Raw genomic sequence first — 19,837 nt, 5'->3', positions numbered from 1 at the left:
AGAAAACTTTTTTCCCGATGTAGAAAATAAGGTATGTACATAAAATAAGTTATGGCAGAGTTATATTGGGAAAAAATCCAATGACCTTCATCAAGAGAAGACTGACTGATTAAAGAAATTTACACCCAAGGAAATACATATTACATTGCTTGAAATGCCAACTATGAATACTACAAAACAATATAAAAACTGGTCATAGTGATTCATAAAGCAAAATGTAATATTATTTGCAACAGTGACTATAATTGTGTGTAAGATTACCTAGGCATTTGAAGCCCATACACTAAGGTAACACGTTATCATGGCAGGGTGATAATTGACTTGATTTTTCCCCTTTATCTATTTTTGCATGATATTTCCTAATAAAATGTATAAAATTCTTAGGAAAACTTTATCTCATCTGTCCTTTAGCCTTCCTGACACTAGTTCTGTAGCGTAGAGAGTCAAGTGTCATTGTAATTGCTTAAGTTGCACTCATTGCCTCTTAGATACTAGAGACTTAACCTTGTGATTTCAGTTTAGGTTCCTTTTTCTAAAAGTTTTGCTTATTGCATTATTATACTTTTTATCAGGCTGGTGTTTTGCATCATATTTATTAAAGTGGTCGGTTATTTTGATATTTTAATATGGATGTATACATGAACCTGTGCTATGATAATGAAATAACAATTAAATTGGCCGGGCGCGGTGGCTCACGCCTGTAATCCCAGCACTTTGGAAGGCTGAGGCGGGCGGATCCTGAGGTCAGGAGATCGAGACCATCCTGGCTAACATGTTGAAACCCCGTCTCTACTAAAAAAAAAAAAAAAAAAGAAAATTAGCCAGGCATGGTGGTGGGCACCTGTAGTCCCAGCAACTTGAGAGGCTGAGGCAGGAGAATGGCATGAACATGGGTGGCAGAGCTTGCAGTGAGCCAAGATCACACCACTGCACTCCAGCCTGGGTGACAGAGGGAGACTCCATCTCAAAAATAAAAATAAAAATAAAAAAATGTGCCATTATATAATGTAATATGTATTCAAAGAACTTTAGTAAAATGATGAAGGATGAATGTTCACCTTCTAACAAATATATTAGATACTTTTGTAAATTTGCTTAAAATAAGCAACTCATCCAAAAAAGAAATTCTTTGTTTATTTAATTAGATCCCAGATTTTTTCCTATGGCCCAAGTACATACTATTCTAGTCTCTCTACAGTACAGAGGACAACTATCTTATTTTCATTTATTTAAAATATGTTGACCTGTGGCAGTGGAAAACTTCCTATTTGATGGTTCCAGTTAAACACTAATTGCAAGCTGAAGAATTTGCTACTATTAAATTGAAAAGTTCAGCAATAAAACTAACATAATTTTCCTTTCAAGGAGAAATCAAATTGAGGAGATGCTGATAGCTATTTAAAGTAAAATTTTATTTTCATGATTAAGATTGTTTTTCCTAACTATCCGAAACAGTGGTGACCTTTAATCAGAGAAAAACTGGTTACCTTACAACTGCAATCAAATAATACACATTAAAATATGCATGTGAGTTAATGGTGCTTTGGGTCAGTCTTCTGTGGTAATCAATTGATTCGATTAGAAGTACAGAAAATTATAAGGTTTTGTGTGTTAAACATATATTTCAATACACCTACCTCTAGGTGAAATGTGACATATACCCAGTTACTTCTCCCTGTGATACTACGATTCCTAAATTCTTTTGGAAAACGGCACGCATTCCATTTGCCAAACAAGTTATTGGACCATGCCTCCATTCATGCTTGGGAAATGTATTCCTCCCACAGCAAAGAACAGCAAATTTTTTTTCTCTCTCTCTTTTTCTCTTTCTCTTTCACACACACACACACACACACACACTCTCTCTCTCTCTCTCTCTCATTCACATACAGTATAGTGCAGGCCACTCACTTCGTCACAAACTGTGTTTCTCCCTTCTTCACTTGAAATTTTTTACTCCCTCACCAAGGTACCCAAGCAACGTTCCAAACATGGCATTAGCCTCAAAGTTCAATGACTCTATAGTTCTATGGAATGCCTACAAATATTTTTAAAATGTAATCACTTATAGAAAGATTCAACAGGCTATTTTTTCCCTTCAAATAAATTTAGAATACACACACACACACAAAAAAAACACCTCGTGATTATCTCCACAACGAATCTCAGTATATATGTCTGTTCTTGCTCTAGAGATCTATGTACTAAATAAAGCAAGTACCACCCCGCCCCCCCAACACACACACATGCTTGCCCAATATACTATAGTGAAACTAGGACAGAAAAATTTCTATAAATGCTTCCACATAAAAAGTGGAAATAGGAAACATTTATGGAATCTACTTGGTAGATGTTGCAAGGGCACCTATACTGACCATGGAAAATATTCCTGTATTTGGCCTGGGTTCTGCTCCCTGAAAATAGCTGCCTGGTCTATAGTTTCTATGTTCCTTAGCTCTACTCTCTAGAAGGTCCTTCTAGTTTTATTAGATACTGTGACCATATCTGAATTTGCCATTGGAGAATATTCTCTCACAGGGAGTTGAGAGCATGCTCAGCTGGCTTCATTCTCATGGAAGTTTGGAGGAACAAAGGATTATGTTAATCTTGAGAAATTAGTCTATTTTAGCCCAGACTAGAAGCTCACTTACCAATATAATATCCATTAATGACTTAGTAATCTTTTTTTTCTATTTGATTCCAATAAATTTCATAGGTCAATATTCACATCAGTAATACTTTTAGAAACATTTCTCTATCTTTGAGCTACTTACAGTTACCTTGAATAGAAGATGTTCTGGTAGAGTCACAATCATATTCTCTTATCCCTACACTATTTTTGTTCAGCATAAATAATTTACAGGAAACTAATAGATTCAGAGCTTTAGCATTAGGTTTGATGATTTGGTCCTTGCCACAAAGCTCAATTTTAGTAGGCATTTATTGTTCAAAAACATCCTAATTTATATATTTTACCTTTTTGAAATGGAAATCAGGTGGTCTTACAACTGTTACAATCAGGAAGTCACAGAACTACTTAAATTTCTATATTACCTTATATACCTCTTTGAAAACTTGATAATTCTTTTCTGAGTTCACTTTTTTTAAGCATTTGCAAAATGCACCAATAGCAAACAAGTAATATTAGTTCATATGTTTTCACCTAAAAATCACAAGCTCATTCTGTAAATTACTGGCTTTCCAGTGTATTACAGGAAACTAATGTATCAAATGTTAGATTCCATCATTCCAGACTTCAACATATTTTCTTACCACCTACTTTTTATTTTACAAAGGTATTTCTTTTTTTATTTGAACAAATATATGGGGTGCAAGTGTAATTTTGTTACATGGATATATTGCACAGTGGTGAAGTCAGGACTTTCAGTATATCCTTCACCAGAATAATGGACATTTTACCGTTGAGGTAATTTCTTATCATTTACCCTCCTTCCACCCCACCTTTCCGAGTCGCCATTGTCTGTCATTCCACTATCTCCATGTGTACACATTATTTATCTCCATCTTGTAAGTGAGAATATGTGGTATTTGTCTTTCTGTGTCTGAGTGCTTTCTGTTAAAAAAAAAAATGGCCTCCAGCTTCATCTATGTTGTTGCAAAAGGCATGATTTCATTCGTGTTTGTAGGTGAATAGTATTCCATTGTGCGAATAGATCATATTTTTAATCCACTCCTCCACTGATGGGCACAATCCATTGAGGTTGATTCTATATGGCTGCTATTGTGAATAGTGCTGTAATAAACATACAGGGGCAGGTATCTTTTTGATATAATGTTTTTTTTTTCCTTTAGGTAGATATTCAGGAGTAAGATTGCTAGATAAAATAATAGTTCCATTTTCAGTTCTTTGAAAAATCTGCATATTGTTTTCATTAGAGCTTGTTCTTATATTGGAGCAGTGTCATCTATTTTAATATTTGGGTTTTTAAAATTATTTTAATGACCATACCAGTCAGCTTCAACTAAGTTAAATTTGTTTTGTTTTTTGTAGCAACAAACAACTCCAAATCTCAGTGGCTTCCAACAATAAACACGACTTTCTACCCATATAGATTCCATCTTGGGTCAGCAAAGGCATAGCTTTATGTCCTCTTAATTTCAGGATCGCTGAGAGAATCATGCATATTTTGGACATGGTGGCCTCAGGACGTGAGACATGACAGAAAAGATGTATATGTAAAAAAAAAAGAAACACGCCAGAGCCCTGTGTCCGCTCTCAAAGCTTCTAACGGCGCTGGCATGCACAGCTCCTTCACATAAGGTACAGGCAAAGCAAATATCACATGACCAAACCTGACATTGATGATGTGGGAAACATAATCCTACATGGAGGAACAAATAATGTTACCCTCCTTAAGACCGCAGCTCATTATTTAAATTGCACAATTACACTGTGAATCAGATCTTCGGAGACTAGCACTTCATTAGTCCACGAACCCTAGAAGAAATTATTTCCTTACCAATAATTTAGTCTCAGGTGATATCTTAAAGCCGATATTGACAAAAATAAAGATTTATTCACCATCATCACCACCAGCCCACCCCCTACAACAAATACTTGCATGTTAAAATTATTCACAAAATAATGACTAAAATAAAATAAAAAACCTAAAATCACATTCTTGAGCCTTCCTACTATATTCCCCTTCCAACTTACTCTTCCACCATCCAGCCCCACCACACATGAATATCATTACAAAGTACATATATATCTTCATAAAAAGAGACATAGCAAGGATGAAACGCCTGCCAAGAGCCACTAGAAAGCACAGAGGACAGTGTGTGAGCCTCATTTGTGGAATGATTGATTCTGTTTCCATATAATATTATTAGAGAAGAAAATCCAGTTTGCTTGATTGGAATTGTTTTTACTAAAAACAAATTCTCAAAATGTGGAGTAAGTTTGATTATTAAATTACTCCATGGAAAAATAATTCAGCTGCTTATTTTTTTATTTCCAACTGTTTTGCATTATATAGAAACAGTCTTTCTAACCAGGGAACTATGGGTTTTGCCTGAATAGTTGTCCAACAGGAGCAGGAACAGTGACTGGAAAACCACCTGAAAGAATGCTACTGCGGGTGACAGTCCCACAATCAGTGACATTTAAGACTGTGTTTCTTTAAAAAAAAACAAAAAACAAAAACAACTTTGTTTGTAACTGCAGCTGAAATCACCCCCACAGTTGTAACTGTGTGCTGTGAAGATATTACACCGAGATATCTATCTTCCAGGAATTTCTAAAATATTCTATAAACCATTATTGAGTTGACCTAACAAAACAAAATGAAGTACCTAGATTCATTTGAACACTAAAGAACACTGAAAATATATAATAAATAATAAGATATATCACACTTTTTGATATAGATGCTTAAATCTTAAAACACCCAAGCTTTAATGATACTGTGCCTATATTTAAACACACACACACACACACACACACACACACACATGCGCACGTGCACACAAGGTCATGCTGAAGTACTGACACTATAGAGCACTCGTAAAACATATACTATTACCGCCACAAACATGTGCACATTGTCTGTGTAATCTTATTTCCTTACTCTTTTTAAATTGATTTCAGTCATTAAGATATGAATATTTATATCCCATTAATGCCATATGTTAATAAGGGAGACAATCTTTAGATATGCTCTAAAATACTATTTAGAAGCTGTCCAGCACGTGTTCACTCATAAAGTAGTACCTCATCTTCTTTTTGATTGAGTCCCTGCTTTAGTTCTTCCACTCGTAATCTTAGTTTCTTTACTTCTGCTTCATTTTGATCCACTCGGTTGTTTGCATGAGTCAGTTCTGCAATATTTGCCTGGTATTGTCTGTTTAGTTTATAGTAGGCATGTTGAAGGTTCAGTAATTCCTTTCAAAGGAAAACAAAAATTACATTATTTATAGTCTATTCTGATAAAATCAGAAGAATGGCAACTTCTTTTGACAAAAGAGAAAAACATTTTAGGAAGAATTTAGATGAGCCATCATCTTCATTTGCAATTCTACATTTCTGTAATCAGATATTATAATTAGTATATGACTATAAATGAAAGATATGTGACTAAAATACAATGCACTCTTTACGTTGTTTTGTAAATGATGTATTTTGCACCTTACACAAAAGTAGTTTTTATGTAACCTTCCCCCAAAAGGAAATCACATAACCATAAATAAAATAATATAAATGCATGCAAAAAGAGCTGTTCATCCTGATCATCCACTAACTCAGCAGATGCTAAAAGTTAGCACACTACATGATTTAATTATTTTCTGAAGAAAATAGGTTTTGTGAGGCTGTAGTCATGTTGTTACCTGCCACATCTGAAACCACATGAACCAGGCTCAGAAACCTGCAGCAAGGACCCATCATGAGTAAAGAAAGATATTAATCTATCATAGGATGATTAGACTGCAAATCAGTCTTGTTATAATTAACACCATACACTATATAAATTAACAGGTTACAATAATTATCCTCAGATTAATATCGTTTCTCATTTTTAGTAAAAATTTACAGTGTAAAATAAATTGTACTATCATTATAGAAAACGTCTTTATTGGGGCCAGGTGTGGTGGCTCATGCCTGTGATCCCAGCACTTTGGGAGGCCGAGGCAGGCGGATCACGAGGTCAGAAGATGGAGACCATCCTAGCTAACACGGTGAAACTCCGTCTCTACTAAAAAAAAAAAAAAAAAAAAAAAAATTAGCCGGGCATGGTGGCGGACGCCTGTAGTCCCAGCTACTCCAGAGACTGAGGCAGGAAAATGGCGTGAACCCGGGAGCTGGAGCTTGCAGTGAGCCGAGATAGCGCCACAGCACTCCAGCCCGGGCGACAGAGCAAGGCTCCGTCTCAAAAAAAAAAAAAAAAAAAAAAAAATCTTTATTAAAACTATAAAGAAAAAGTTAGCCTCTGGTTCTTCATAATGTTATAATACTGTAGGAAAACCCAAGGATATTTCTTTGGTTTCCTAAAACATGCTGTCATATTACTTTATATACAAAAATCACAAAAAAGGCAATAATAAAAAAATGCATTGGTAATTTTCTTAGGATGTCTAGGTAGAAATTGAAAGTGGAATTATTTTCACATCTCAAATCATTAGTAATACTAATGATGAATTCATGATCCAAAAGTAAAAAATAGCCATAAAATATTGGAAAATAAATGTGGATGTGGTGTTTTTCTTTTAGTCATCACGTAGGGGAAGTTTTCCTAAGTATGATCCCAAATCATGAGATCACAAAATGATAAATTCAATCACAGTAAGTATATAATTTGCATATAACAAAAAAATATATTCAGTATCTCTCAAATTAGAGGCACATCAATTCGAATTTATGTCATATTTTTGACCTGACAAAATTATAGATATTGTAGAAAATTGTAGTGGTGACCAGGGGTTAAGGACAGGCTATGAGGAGGGTAAGGTACATGTGAGGGTAGCTTAAAGGGAACCTTGTGATGAGAATGTTCTCATCACAATCTGGGCGTAAGGGACGCCTAGATCTGTCTGCATTATTTTATACAACTGCATATGAATCTAAAAATATCAAAAATAAAAAGCTTAATTAAAAAAATCAAGATGTCTTCAGACTGGCAAAGGCTAAGTATGGTAAGGTAATCTGCCAGTAAAATGTGGAGAAATAAGGATTCATTCATGGAGAAACACTGGCAATATTTTTTTAATTAAAAATGCACATAAAGTCAGATACAACCATTCTATTTCCAGGAATTTATTTCACAGATATACTCATAGCTGTGTGAAATGTTGTGATTATGAGAATATTTGTCTCAGCATTGTTTTGTTGTTGCTGGTATTTACAGTGAATATTGGAAACTAAATGTCCCTGAAATGGGCCTGATTACATTTAAGAAAAAACATTAAACCCTTCAATATAATATGGCAGCCTTTTATATATTCACATGGAGAGATGTCCAAAATGTTAAAGCAAAATGCAAAACTGTGTGAAGTGTATGGTATTAGAAGAAACAAGCTGATATAAAGCGACTTTTGATCTGACACAATTGATTAGTCGCAGGCTCTTGGCCTCTGTGAATCCCAGCATTCCGAAGTCCAGAAGAGGTGGGGTGAGGGTGTGGATGCAGGGCAGGACCTGGCAGAGAAAATGCTGGTCCTCACTCTTAGGAAGCAGGGAGTTTGAATGGAAGAGAACGCCCCCCATGCCTATCAACTATTGCCTGTCTCAAGAATGTCCACCTCCTAGTATCCACTGAAGACATGAGCGTCAAATGAAGGGGACATTTTTAGTTTCTGTCCTGCAAATCCTGCCCCTTCATTCCATAGGAGTCAAAATCACAGCCATTGATATTTAAACCTTAATGATGCCAACAGGCAGCTGGAAACAGACAGATTTGGTCTGGGCAGCTAGACAGGACACTCGAACTCGTTTTCTGGGTGAGCTTGCCCTGTCACTTCAATCGCTTCACAGTAACACTGTCGTTTATGCACCATCACTGAGTTTGCTGAATTATACCACACATTACACTTAAAATGCAAACAGATTTCTCATTTCTTCTCTTCAGAATACAATTTTCAAATGTCAAGTTCTATACCATATTCTTTTACAAAGAAACATGTAATAGGGAGCACAATTCTATTATTTGGAACAACAATGGAACATTTAAAAAAAGATCTTTCTTGATCTGTCAGACATAAAGAATTTGCTGCACAAATAATTCAGAGCTTAATGGGAAAGTTATAACTTTGCAAGTTGATGGCTTTCTCTCCGGAATTACGCACCTAGTTACAATTACATGACCTTGTGCTTTAGCAAAATTATTTCTTATATCATTAATGCTTTGTCATTAGGTGTATAAAATTTACTTAGACCGATTTAAAAGGAGTAAGCAATAAGCCTTCAGTGTTCATACAAGGAAAGAGGAAAGAGGAAGGAATGACCAAAAGGAAGGAAGGAAGGAAAGACATCTTTGTTTGTCAACGCAAATTCCACCCCGGCCATAGGCCATTTTTATAAGCAGAGCCCTGGCATTCATGTTCTACAGCTTGGCCATTTGCTCAGAGAATATCAACTTATTCTCAGGCCTAGGAGGTATGTATGCTTTTGTCAAACTATATTCTCAATAAGTCATACCCAAGCCAGCAGCAACGGCATCACTTGGGAACTTCATTCAAGACCTACTGAATCTGAAACTCAGGGCTCGAGCCCAGAAGCTGTGGGTTTAACAAGTCCTCAAGGTGTTTCTGATTCACCATAAAGTTTGAGAACCATTGGTATAAGCCAATTCTAATAAGCTTTCCTCTTGTCAGTGACTATATTAGGAAAGTGGATATAACTTAGCTGTGTAATGAGAAAAGAGAAAAAGTATCCATGAGTGGGAAATAATTTTTTAAAAATGTTTATCACTTAAAAATATGCAAGGAAGATATATGCGCCTTGAGTGACAACAACAATCTGAGACTTTGGGGGAGTCCTGCTTACACCTGGGGTTGGCAGACACTTGGTATTTTTTGTTATGTGAGAAACTATATCCAATTATATTTAGAGCCAAACTCATAGCTTAACATACTCTAACTGTGTTCATAGAGTGCCTCTTAATAAAGGTAAGAACTGGATTTCACCTTAAGGAGAAAAATACATTGCTTCCTTAATGCAAAGATGTTTTAAAAATCAGTCTAAATTGATAAAATCAGTTTAAAGTGATTTTTAAAATATCAGCTTAAAGTGATTTTTTAAAAAATCAGTTTAAAGGCATTAATGCTTCCCAGGTACCTACACTATGAGAAATTCTTCACATACCTTCTCTCTCTAAATCCACGTGACAATCCCGTGTTAGAGATAATATTTTCCTATTTAGTATCAGAGAGCTATGCAAATTGCTCATGGCCAACCTAACTAAAATTAATCCTACACTTTCATTTTACCAAAACAGTATCACAGAGCTGGCGTTCACCTTGTTATCAGGAGGACTTATCTTTAAGATTTGACAAGTTATTTGACATTTTGATCCATTAATTCATATCCTCTCTATTTTACTTTCAGGGGAAGAAATGGATTTCTTCTTTAATTCTCAAAGCAGGCTGGGCACAGTGGCTGACGCCTGTAATCCCAGAGCTTTGGGAGGCTGAGGCGGGTGGATCACCTGAGGTCAGGAGTTTGAGACCAGCCTGGTCAACATGGTGAAACCCTGTCTCTACTAAAAATACCAAAAAAAAAAAAAAAAAAAAAAAAAAAAGCCCTGTGTGGTGGCATGTGCCTGTAGTCCCAACTACTTTGGAGGCTGAGGCAGGGAATCACTTGAACCCAGGAGGCGGAGGTTGCAGTGAGCCGAGATCCTGCCACTGCCCTCCAGCAAGGCAACAGAGCAAGACTCAGTCTCAAAATAAATAAATAAATAAATAAATAAATAAATAAATAAATAAATAAATCTCAAAGCTATGGCCTTTGCTACCATCCATTCATTTCTGTTAATTTGTGATAGAAAAGTGATGGGAATCTCCCCACACACTCATTTTGTTCTTTCCGTACGTGTTATAGTAAATAGTGAAGGTATATAGGATCATACACTATAATCCAATGAATATGTTAGATGCTATTATTATCTAAAATCGCAGTATCTTTTATAACTTTCATATAGATGTACTATTGGAAAGCATCCAAAATGAATCCTAATTTGAAGATTTAGTGGTTTGCATTTGAAAAGAGAATTAGGTAGATGGTAAATATCTCTATGTACTTCAGAGCAAGCTTATTCTAATATGCTTTAATGGTAAAAAAAATACATAATTACTATGTCATATATTCATATTTTGGAAGAGAAAAATCTGAACAGAAAATATGTATAAAAATATATGGTACTAAAGATTATTTGTCAGCATGTAAAACTCTGTAAATCTAATCTATATAACTGACAGTACATACAATTCACAGTTCTTTTATAAGCAGATTTCCATGATTTCAGATCTTGATATAGAAAAGAAACACATAAAATGTGTTTGCATATATATATATACATATTTTAATAGAGTAATACAGTATTAGTTTCTCAAATAGATTGAATCAGTTTCCAATGATGTGAAATATTTGATGGAATGCTTTAAATTATATATGTGGTTATGGCATTAGTTTATTTTGTTATATGTAAGGATATTGCTCTCTATCTAGAATTAATTGTAATATGATACATCAACTACTGAAGATTGAGTTTAGTCATAGCAAGCTGACAAAATATATTTTCTTATACCTTAAAATGACATAATGAGAGGCTGGTAAATATAAATCAAATCAGTTTATATGTATCTAATAGAAGGAAAAACGAAGCATCATACAGGAAATTTAAAAGTACTATTATATATGTTATTTCTATCCATTCAAATTTTTTAATAATACATAGAAGTTTATAAATTTCTCCATCTATAATATCAAAGATGTGCATTAATAATATACTGATCTGTAGTATATGTAACATACGATTTACCATATAACATATGGTTCAACTATATTTAAGAGAAATAACAACATGAAAAATTGGAAATAACTTGCTCATGGTCTTTTGAAGCCTTGTTACACACCAACTGCAAGTAATAATGCTATCAACAAGGGCAGATTTTCTCTTCTCGAAAGTTGACTCAGATACATTGGATTGTTATCACAATCAAATGCAGCTACTTAAATACATTAAAGAAGTCACAATACCACTCAAGTTAAACACATTATAATTTTTGTACTACCTGCCTGTTTTTAAGATAAATTCTTACTATATCAAATTCTTACCTCAGAAAATACAGAAACCAGAGGAACATGTATCTTCAACAAGAATAAATTCAATGTTATTCATAAACATTTATTATACTTGGTGGCAGATGATAGTTTAAAATAAGAGCATTTTATCCGTCTTAATCAGCATATTTAGTGGGTCCACTTAACATCTCATGTGTCAAATATGCTGTGATTTAGTATTGTCTATAGTGTTGATATAATATCATTCATTCCACAAGCCTTCACTAAATGTCTACCGTGTGCCAATAACTGTGTTATGCATTTTACATATAAAAGTGAACTAGTTAGATACGATCTCTAACCTTGTAAAGCTTAGAATCCAGTAGAGGTCATAGATTAAAAAACAATCAAGGATATTTGTCAATTGTGACAATTATTAAAAAAATACTCAGATGATTTTTTAAGATAGAGAATAATTAATGAGGGGTGGAAGAAAAGCAGGAAAAATCAAGTGACAGGAAGTTTCTGCCCTGTGCCTCTGAGATCCCCGTTCTGTATGGAAGGATGTATTTCACTAGCTGCTGGAAAATCTGTCTCACAACAACTCTTCACTGACAGCTCTTTCCTCTTGGCTGCAAAGAGACTCCCCACCAAGTCCACACCAACTTCCTGGTGATCATTTTAGAAGTATAAAGGACTTGTTCCTAGCCCAACTTGGGACAGGTCCAAAGGTCCATTCCAGCTCCAGAAGTACCCCAAGGATCAGCTGAGGTCCCATGATCACGGCCCTCCCAGTCCTACTTCTCCCTCTGACCTGGGCTGGTTGGTTCTTCCCATAGCTAATGTACTACCTAGTACACTTCCTGCATGTTGATATCTCCAGAATCTGCTTCCCAGGTAACAGACTTCAGCATCTGGTGTCCCTGGCTGTCACTTTAGAATATGTACCCTACACAATTAAATTTCCTAGCAAAAGTCCATGGATGGGAAATAGATGATGGAAACTTTACTGAGAAAGTAAAGTATAAAACTGTGTGAACCCACGATATTGTACTCTGTAATTCAGAGTTAGTTTTGGATCTCTATAAGTAACAATGCTTGAATATGTGTAAAGTGAGTATATAATTAGAAGCCTAAAAGATTGAAAATCAAATTTTGGAGTATGTCTTTGTATTTATTCAATACCACAGAAAACTAGGCAAATGATCAAAAATATTTGTTGAGCATCCACTAATGTTTTATCTAGTCAGTTAGTAAACGTTCCCAATTATATTCAAGTATTGAGAAAATAAAGAAAAAAATCAACAAATTTTATCTTATTTCTAAGTTCTACTTTCCCCATCTGTAAAAGCACATATAAAAGCAACTTCACAAAATTGTACCTTTAAGTGATATATATGTACATTGCTTCATGATACGAGAATTAAGTATAGCAGGAGATTGACTGGCTAGAAGAGACTGTTTTATGTGCTCATTTTGATCAGATGAAATCAGAAGCATAGGTATCAGGTCCAGAGTAGACCAAGCAACTCAGCAAATGCAATCAGGGATGGGGATCTTTTCCCCTTTCTGCTCTGTCATCCTTAGGTCATATGTGCCCTCTGTCCTTTGCTTGCTATTTTATAATCACAAAATATCTCCCAAATTTTGCTGGGTAGAGAGTTGAGGAGAAGCAGCAAAGATAAACGTTGTTTCTCCTAGTAAGATTTGTGTCCATTTGTTGATAAGACAATCTCCTGATACTATATAGGGGAAAACATGATAAAGAGAAAAACATTGCACATAAGAATGAAAAAGTTATGATCATTTAAATGATACATACATAAAAGACATAGTTTAAACAAGATAATTTTTCTTTTTATTTGAAAAAATCCTAATTTATTCTCTTAAATTATGAGACCATAATATTATTTGTTTCTTGTTATTTGACAACTGCTATTTATTTTTATCATGTTCCGGAGTTATATAGACCTAAAACACTATCTTTGTGGGAAAAAAAATATTTTGAGACAGATGTCTGGGGGAGTATATTCTTCCTTACACATCTTTTTATGGACAGACTTCCGTTAGAAAGTGAAAGACTGGAAGATAGCATTGGAGGACAAGATGACATGGAGTTGACTTACTCGAGGGAGAAGGGTATTGCAGGTAGGTGGGAGAACTCTTCTAACAGATTTTTAAGCGTTATGTATTGAGGAAAAGGGGGAAGAGAGTCAGATGATTTAGTTGTGGGCAGACAGGGTAAAGATCTTAAAATCCTGGTATAGAGTTTGAATCTAATTTTTGTTTCAATGGTTTGGAGAGGGCATGGAAAGTAAAGGAAAACATTGAGACAGTGAAGTATACGTCGTTTCTAAAAATAAAAAAAAATCACTTTCATCTCACTTAAAGAGATAATGACCTTAATAGAGAACTAGTTAAGGGAAAATTACAATAAAGTTGATTCAGTTACGATATTTTCATCTGTGATTAACAGGAAAAAGACAAACAAGCAAAAACCAAGAAAATGTTTTTCTGTTACGTGATAAATCCAAGGTTAGAGTGACTTCATGGTTGTTAATTTGGCAGTTCAGTAACCTTGCCAAGGACTGGGTTCATATTTCTGTGTTGAGAACTGTGGTTGCCTGCATTATTTTTCACAAACATTTGGCGCTCATCCTGAGAGTATGATTATACAGCCCCTAGTGTTGAAATCGGGCATGGCCATGTGAGTATCTTTGACCAAGGAAATAAATGAGAAGGGATGTCATCTTTAGGCAGCTGAAGAGTACCATTCACCATGCCCTCTTTTTTCTGCCTCTACAATTGTATCAAAATATACACTTGTATCCCTCTGTCACTTTGCGCCATTGGAAGAACATGTCGGGCGGGCAAGAAATAACTGTTTTATTGAAGCCATCCTGATTTTCAAGTCTATTGTTGCTATAGCACAACCCAGCTTGTTCAAGCTGATACAGTGTTCTCAGTGTTGTTGTTTTAATTGTTTCACTGAGTGTGAAAAAAATTTACTAGTTCTCCAGGACTTCACTTTATGTCTAAATGGCTAAAGTTGTGTCACATGCTAATGTTTAAACCCATCTGTGATCAGGAAAACATACTTACTAAATAAATTACTCTAATAATTAGGTCTTGGGCCTGAGAATGGAGCCTTTAATAATGAAGTGCAAGGGGGCCATAACAGGGGGAAAATATATGTAAAATTAGACTTGTATCAAGGCAGGGAAACTGGACAAGGGGATGAATATTAATCAACTATGAATGTCTATTATCTGAGATATCATTTCTCCTTTCTTCTTTCCTTCCTTACACCTTTCCTCATTTCATCCACTCATTCATCCAACTAATACTCATTGGTAATCAGCGGTGTAACAATGATTAGCACCAAGGACAGAGATATGAAATTGAGACAGCCAGGTGGGAAGGGGTCCCCAAAGAAACTCCAGCTAGCCTGTGCCCTGTGGTGGAGTCACAGTGGTTCACACTGTTTGCATCGGGGAGGAACCTGGCCCCTTCTCTTCCTGGGTAAGCCTGGTATTTAATCTTTGATGTGGGAAGCACACTACCAGGATTCTGGCTTTTCAGAGAGTCCCTGATTCTTTTTTTTTTTTTCCCTTTTGTCCAATAAAACCCATTTTTCTCACCCTTTAAATTGTCTGTGGGCCTAATTTTTCATGGTCATGTGATAAAAAGCCTGTCTTTAGCTGAACTAAGGAAAAGTCCTACAAGAAAATCAACCTGTAATCTAGTTTACAGAAAGAAACAACAGCAAACAACAACAACAACAACAAATCAGTAGGTACTCTACTTGGAAAGGATTATGTCGGAGGTAAGTTAAAGAAGAGGTACACAAAGCAGCTAACAGCATGGGAAAAGACGACAATATTTCCTAGAGAAAGGAACATTGAGTCTGAAATTTGAAATATGAGTAAAAATTGTGATATGAAGAGGAATGATTGAGAGGAAGTCTCTCTGGGCAGAAATAGCAGCACATGCCAAGATCAAAAGAAAGAAAGAGCATGATGTATTGAGAGGGGCCTGAACTGCAGTGCATTTGAGTGTGTGGGTGCATTGGCTTGCCTCACATGGCCATGAACTTATTAGTAGAACACTTATATGTAGTGGAAAGGATTAGCTAATATCCAAATAAAATACTGTATCACTATATCTGTATGTATCACCAATATTTCACCAGACATTAAGATCCTACAGTATGAAAAAAATCAAAATAGAAGTATAGCAATTCTATTTATATATATAAAAAAGTAATGTACTTCGCTTACAAATAAACTTTCACAAATGTAAAATTCAAATTTCCAAATTTGACGCTGCAGGTTCCCAGACTATAAAAATAGGGTCAAAAATAAGTATCTCTGAGGGTCATTCTCTTGTTTAAATTCTAATATAATAACTTATATAATTCTTTAACATCTTATCTGTAAAACAGGACTTACTCTGTTATAACAATCACAAACAGAAATGAGAGGACAAATGAGAAGACTATACTGATAATGTCTCTGACTAGTTTGCTCAACAGCCATGAGTCATACTCTGTATGTGTGTCTGTGTGCAATATTTATCTCTGGGACTAAGGCATTCATATATATGTGTGTATATGTATGTGTCTATATACGTATATAGTCATATCACTAATGGAATACTTATTAAGAATAGTTAAATAGGCTATTCTAGGTTAGAACAAATGCAGATCTAGTTTTACAATACACATTTCATCATTTCATCCCAGAAGAAATCAAGACATCCATGATTATGAAGTTTTATTTTTACTATATTTATTGTAGAAAATAATAACACCCATCTCAAAGGGCCATTGTGCATGGTAAATGCATTTTTTTAATGTCTGATAAAGTAACTAACACATAATAGCATGTTCATAATGCTTTTTATACATACATTTGTTGTTTTATACATAGCTAATTACTATTATTGTTATTACCATAAGAATAAACTATCCTCTTATGCTTTGATCATTGCCTGCACATAGCCTTTGGAGGGACTTAGAAAGAAACATAGGTAATAGACATTCCTTATGTGAAAGTTCTTTGTTCATTACATGGAGTTTCCTTTGATACATTTCTTTTCTACAATTCCCAGAGAGCATGTACTATATCAATAGGAAAGAAATGAATGCCTTTTCTCCACTCTCAAGCAAGTCTACCTGCTATAGTCATTCAAAAACAGATGTGAGTTTATGTCATACTGATAATGCACTATTTGATTCTAGTGATAAGTATGAAAAAAATGAACAAAAGTGTCACTATTTCTATTCTCTAGACCAAGTATCAGATGCAGACAACTGGGAATAAGAGAAACAGAGTTAGGAGAATCTAAGGATAAGTAGAATAGGGGCATATTTGAAGGCAACATAAGACAGACATGAGTGACTTGGGAAGTCTTAGATATTCATTAGTCATAAAACTTACCCCAGAACTTTGCTGCTTTTCTTAAAAACAAAACAAACAAACAAACAAACAAACAAAACCAGAATCTTGCTCTGTCACCCAGGCTGGAGTGCAGTGGCACAATCTCGGCTCACAGCAACCTCTTTTTCCCAGGTTAAAGGGATTCTCAAAACTCAGCCTCTCGAGTAGCTGGCATTACAGGCATGCACCACCATACTGGGTTTTTTTTTTTTTTTTTACTATTTTCAGTAGAGACTGGGTTTCACTGTGTTGGCCAGGCTAGTCTCGAACTCCTGGCCTCAAGTGATCCATCCGCCTCAGCCTCCCAAAGTGCTGGGATTATAGGTGTGAGCCAATGTGCCAGGCTTACATCTTAAAACAAAAAGAGAAACTTATTTTGATTACATGCCCCACTCAACCTATAGACCAGATCTCTTTTTCCCCTCAAAGCAAAACCTTCTACAATAGCTTTCTGCAGTTTCTTTATCCACTTATCCATCTCCAGTGTTTTTTTCTCTTTCCATGATTGCTCCTTCACATGACTCCAGGAAAACTTCTCATGTCAAAAGCACTAATGGCTTCTGGATAGCCAACCACATCACTAACTCAAATTCTCAATAATGTTCATTATTTTATGATAATGACTCTCTCTCTCTCTCTCTCTCTCTCTCTCTCTCTCTCTATATATATATATATATATATATATATATATATGATGATTATGTGATTATTAACATTGAGTGTCAACTTGATTGGATTGAAGGATGCAAAGCATTGTTCCTGGGTGTGTCTGTGAGGGTGTTGCCAAAGGAGATTAACATTTGAGTCAGTGAACTGGGTGATGCAGACCCACCCTCAGTCTGGGTAGGCACCATCTAATCAGCTGCCAGTGAAGCCAGGATAAAAGCAGGCAGAGGAGCATGGAAAGACTAGACTGACTGAGTCTTCTGGCCTCCATCTTTCTCCCATGCTGGATGCTTCCTGCCCTTGAAAGCTTTTGGACTCCTGGACCTATACCAGTGGTTTGCCAGGAGCTCTAGGGCCCTTTGGCCACAGACTGAAAGCTGAACTGTTGGCTTCCCTACTTTGGGGGTTTTGGTACTCGGACTGGCTTCCTTGCTCCTCAGCTTGCAGACGGCCTATTGTGGGACTTCACCTTGTGATGGTGTGAGTCAATACTCTCTTTCCTATGCATCTATCCTATTAGTCTCCTGTCACTCTAGAGAACCCTAATACTATATATATATAATATATTATATATATACTATATATATGTAGTAGATGTATGTGTATGTAGATGTATGTATACATATGTAGATGTATATATACATGTGTGTATGTAGATGTATGTATATAGAGACACATGTGTATATATGTGTGTATATATGTGTCTATATGTAATTATGTATATAATATAGATATATGCATACAGTTAAATTGAGAATTTAGCTCCAGGCTTGCATATGCAAGCTTGTTTCTATCCCAGAGTATAAAACAAAATACCCTCATTAAATTAAAAAAAAATCAAACCTCATACTATGGCAAACACTGACATGGAGGTCAGGAGCTAGAGTAATCACCAAGATGGAAAATCACCCTAATTGCCAAGTGAAACCGTGGGAATACAAAGCAGAAATAAGCCCCAAATGACTCAACAGCTCAGAATACATAAGCCCACAGAAAAATCAATCTGACGGAAAAGCTAGCTCACAAAGTTTCAAATCCTAAGAAGTAATGATTCAATGTGAGGAGGAGTAAACAAACACAACAGAAAAAATAGCATTCAAAGAGCTTAAACTACAGCAATGCGAAAATGCCAAAAAAAACACATATTATTAAATGATAAATGATAAATTATAATTAAATTAATAAAGTGAATTAATAGGAAACGGTGAGAACATAAAGGACAGATTTGGGGTAAAAAGTAGAACTTTCTAAAAAGCTACATAAAGTTCTAGAAATTAAAAAGACACGGATGAATGAAATAGATATTATTGAGGAATAAATAAATATATAAAAGATCAAAATTAAATAACATGAAATGCAGAAAAATGTTCTGAAAAAAATTGTAATGAGATAGAAGGATTAACAGACATACACTGAAATCCGGAATTCCATATCAAGCTGTCTACTTGACATGTACATTTTACATGTATATTTTATAACTCCACAAAGGCCAGCCCTAATGTCAGTTGCAGTCAGTGCTTTCACTGATACTCCTTTTGCCAGAACACTTATCGGTAAGCACATGCTTACCGATAAATAAAGGGCGGCTGGGAAATTCACTTTACCTATGTAGACTCATCCAAGTAAGATGAGGAAATAGATACAATATGTACTTGTCAATTCTCTGCCAAACAACCAAATTAGAATTGTAAGTATATAGAAAATTTGAATGAAAAAAATGTATCTACTATAAAATGTATGTGTGGGTGTGTTAGTCCATTTTCACACTCCGATAAAGAACTTCCTGAGACTGGATAATTTATGAAGAAAAGAGGTTTAATTGACTCACAATTCAGCATGGCTGGGGAGGCCTAAGGAAACTTACAATCACAGTGGAAGGCAAAGGGGAAGCAAGGCACCTTCTTTACATGGTGGCAGGAAGGGGAAGTGCTGAACAAAGGGGAAGGAGTCCCTTATAAAACCATCAGACCTGGTGACAACTCACTATCACAAG

General features: G+C 35.4%; 1 protein-coding gene across 8 annotated transcripts in view; it reads right to left on the bottom strand.

Annotated features, from left to right (window-relative positions):
* CCDC102B (coiled-coil domain containing 102B) overlaps positions 1 to 19,837 on the bottom strand; it is a 342,906-nt gene that overhangs the window by 41,283 nt on the left and 281,786 nt on the right. For all 8 annotated transcript variants that reach the window (XM_047437804.1, XM_017025973.2, NM_001093729.2 and 5 more), the window contains one exon: positions 5,735 to 5,905. In XM_047437804.1, coding sequence (XP_047293760.1) covers positions 5,735 to 5,905 — 171 coding nt within the window. The remainder of the gene's footprint in view (positions 1 to 5,734; positions 5,906 to 19,837) is intronic.

The sequence above is a fragment of the Homo sapiens genome, chromosome 18, assembly GCF_000001405.40.
Source record: "Homo sapiens chromosome 18, GRCh38.p14 Primary Assembly".
NCBI classification, from domain to species: Eukaryota; Metazoa; Chordata; class Mammalia; order Primates; family Hominidae; genus Homo; species Homo sapiens.
The sequence above is the reverse complement of the archived record's forward strand: the minus strand, read 5'-3'. Positions and strand labels throughout refer to the sequence as shown.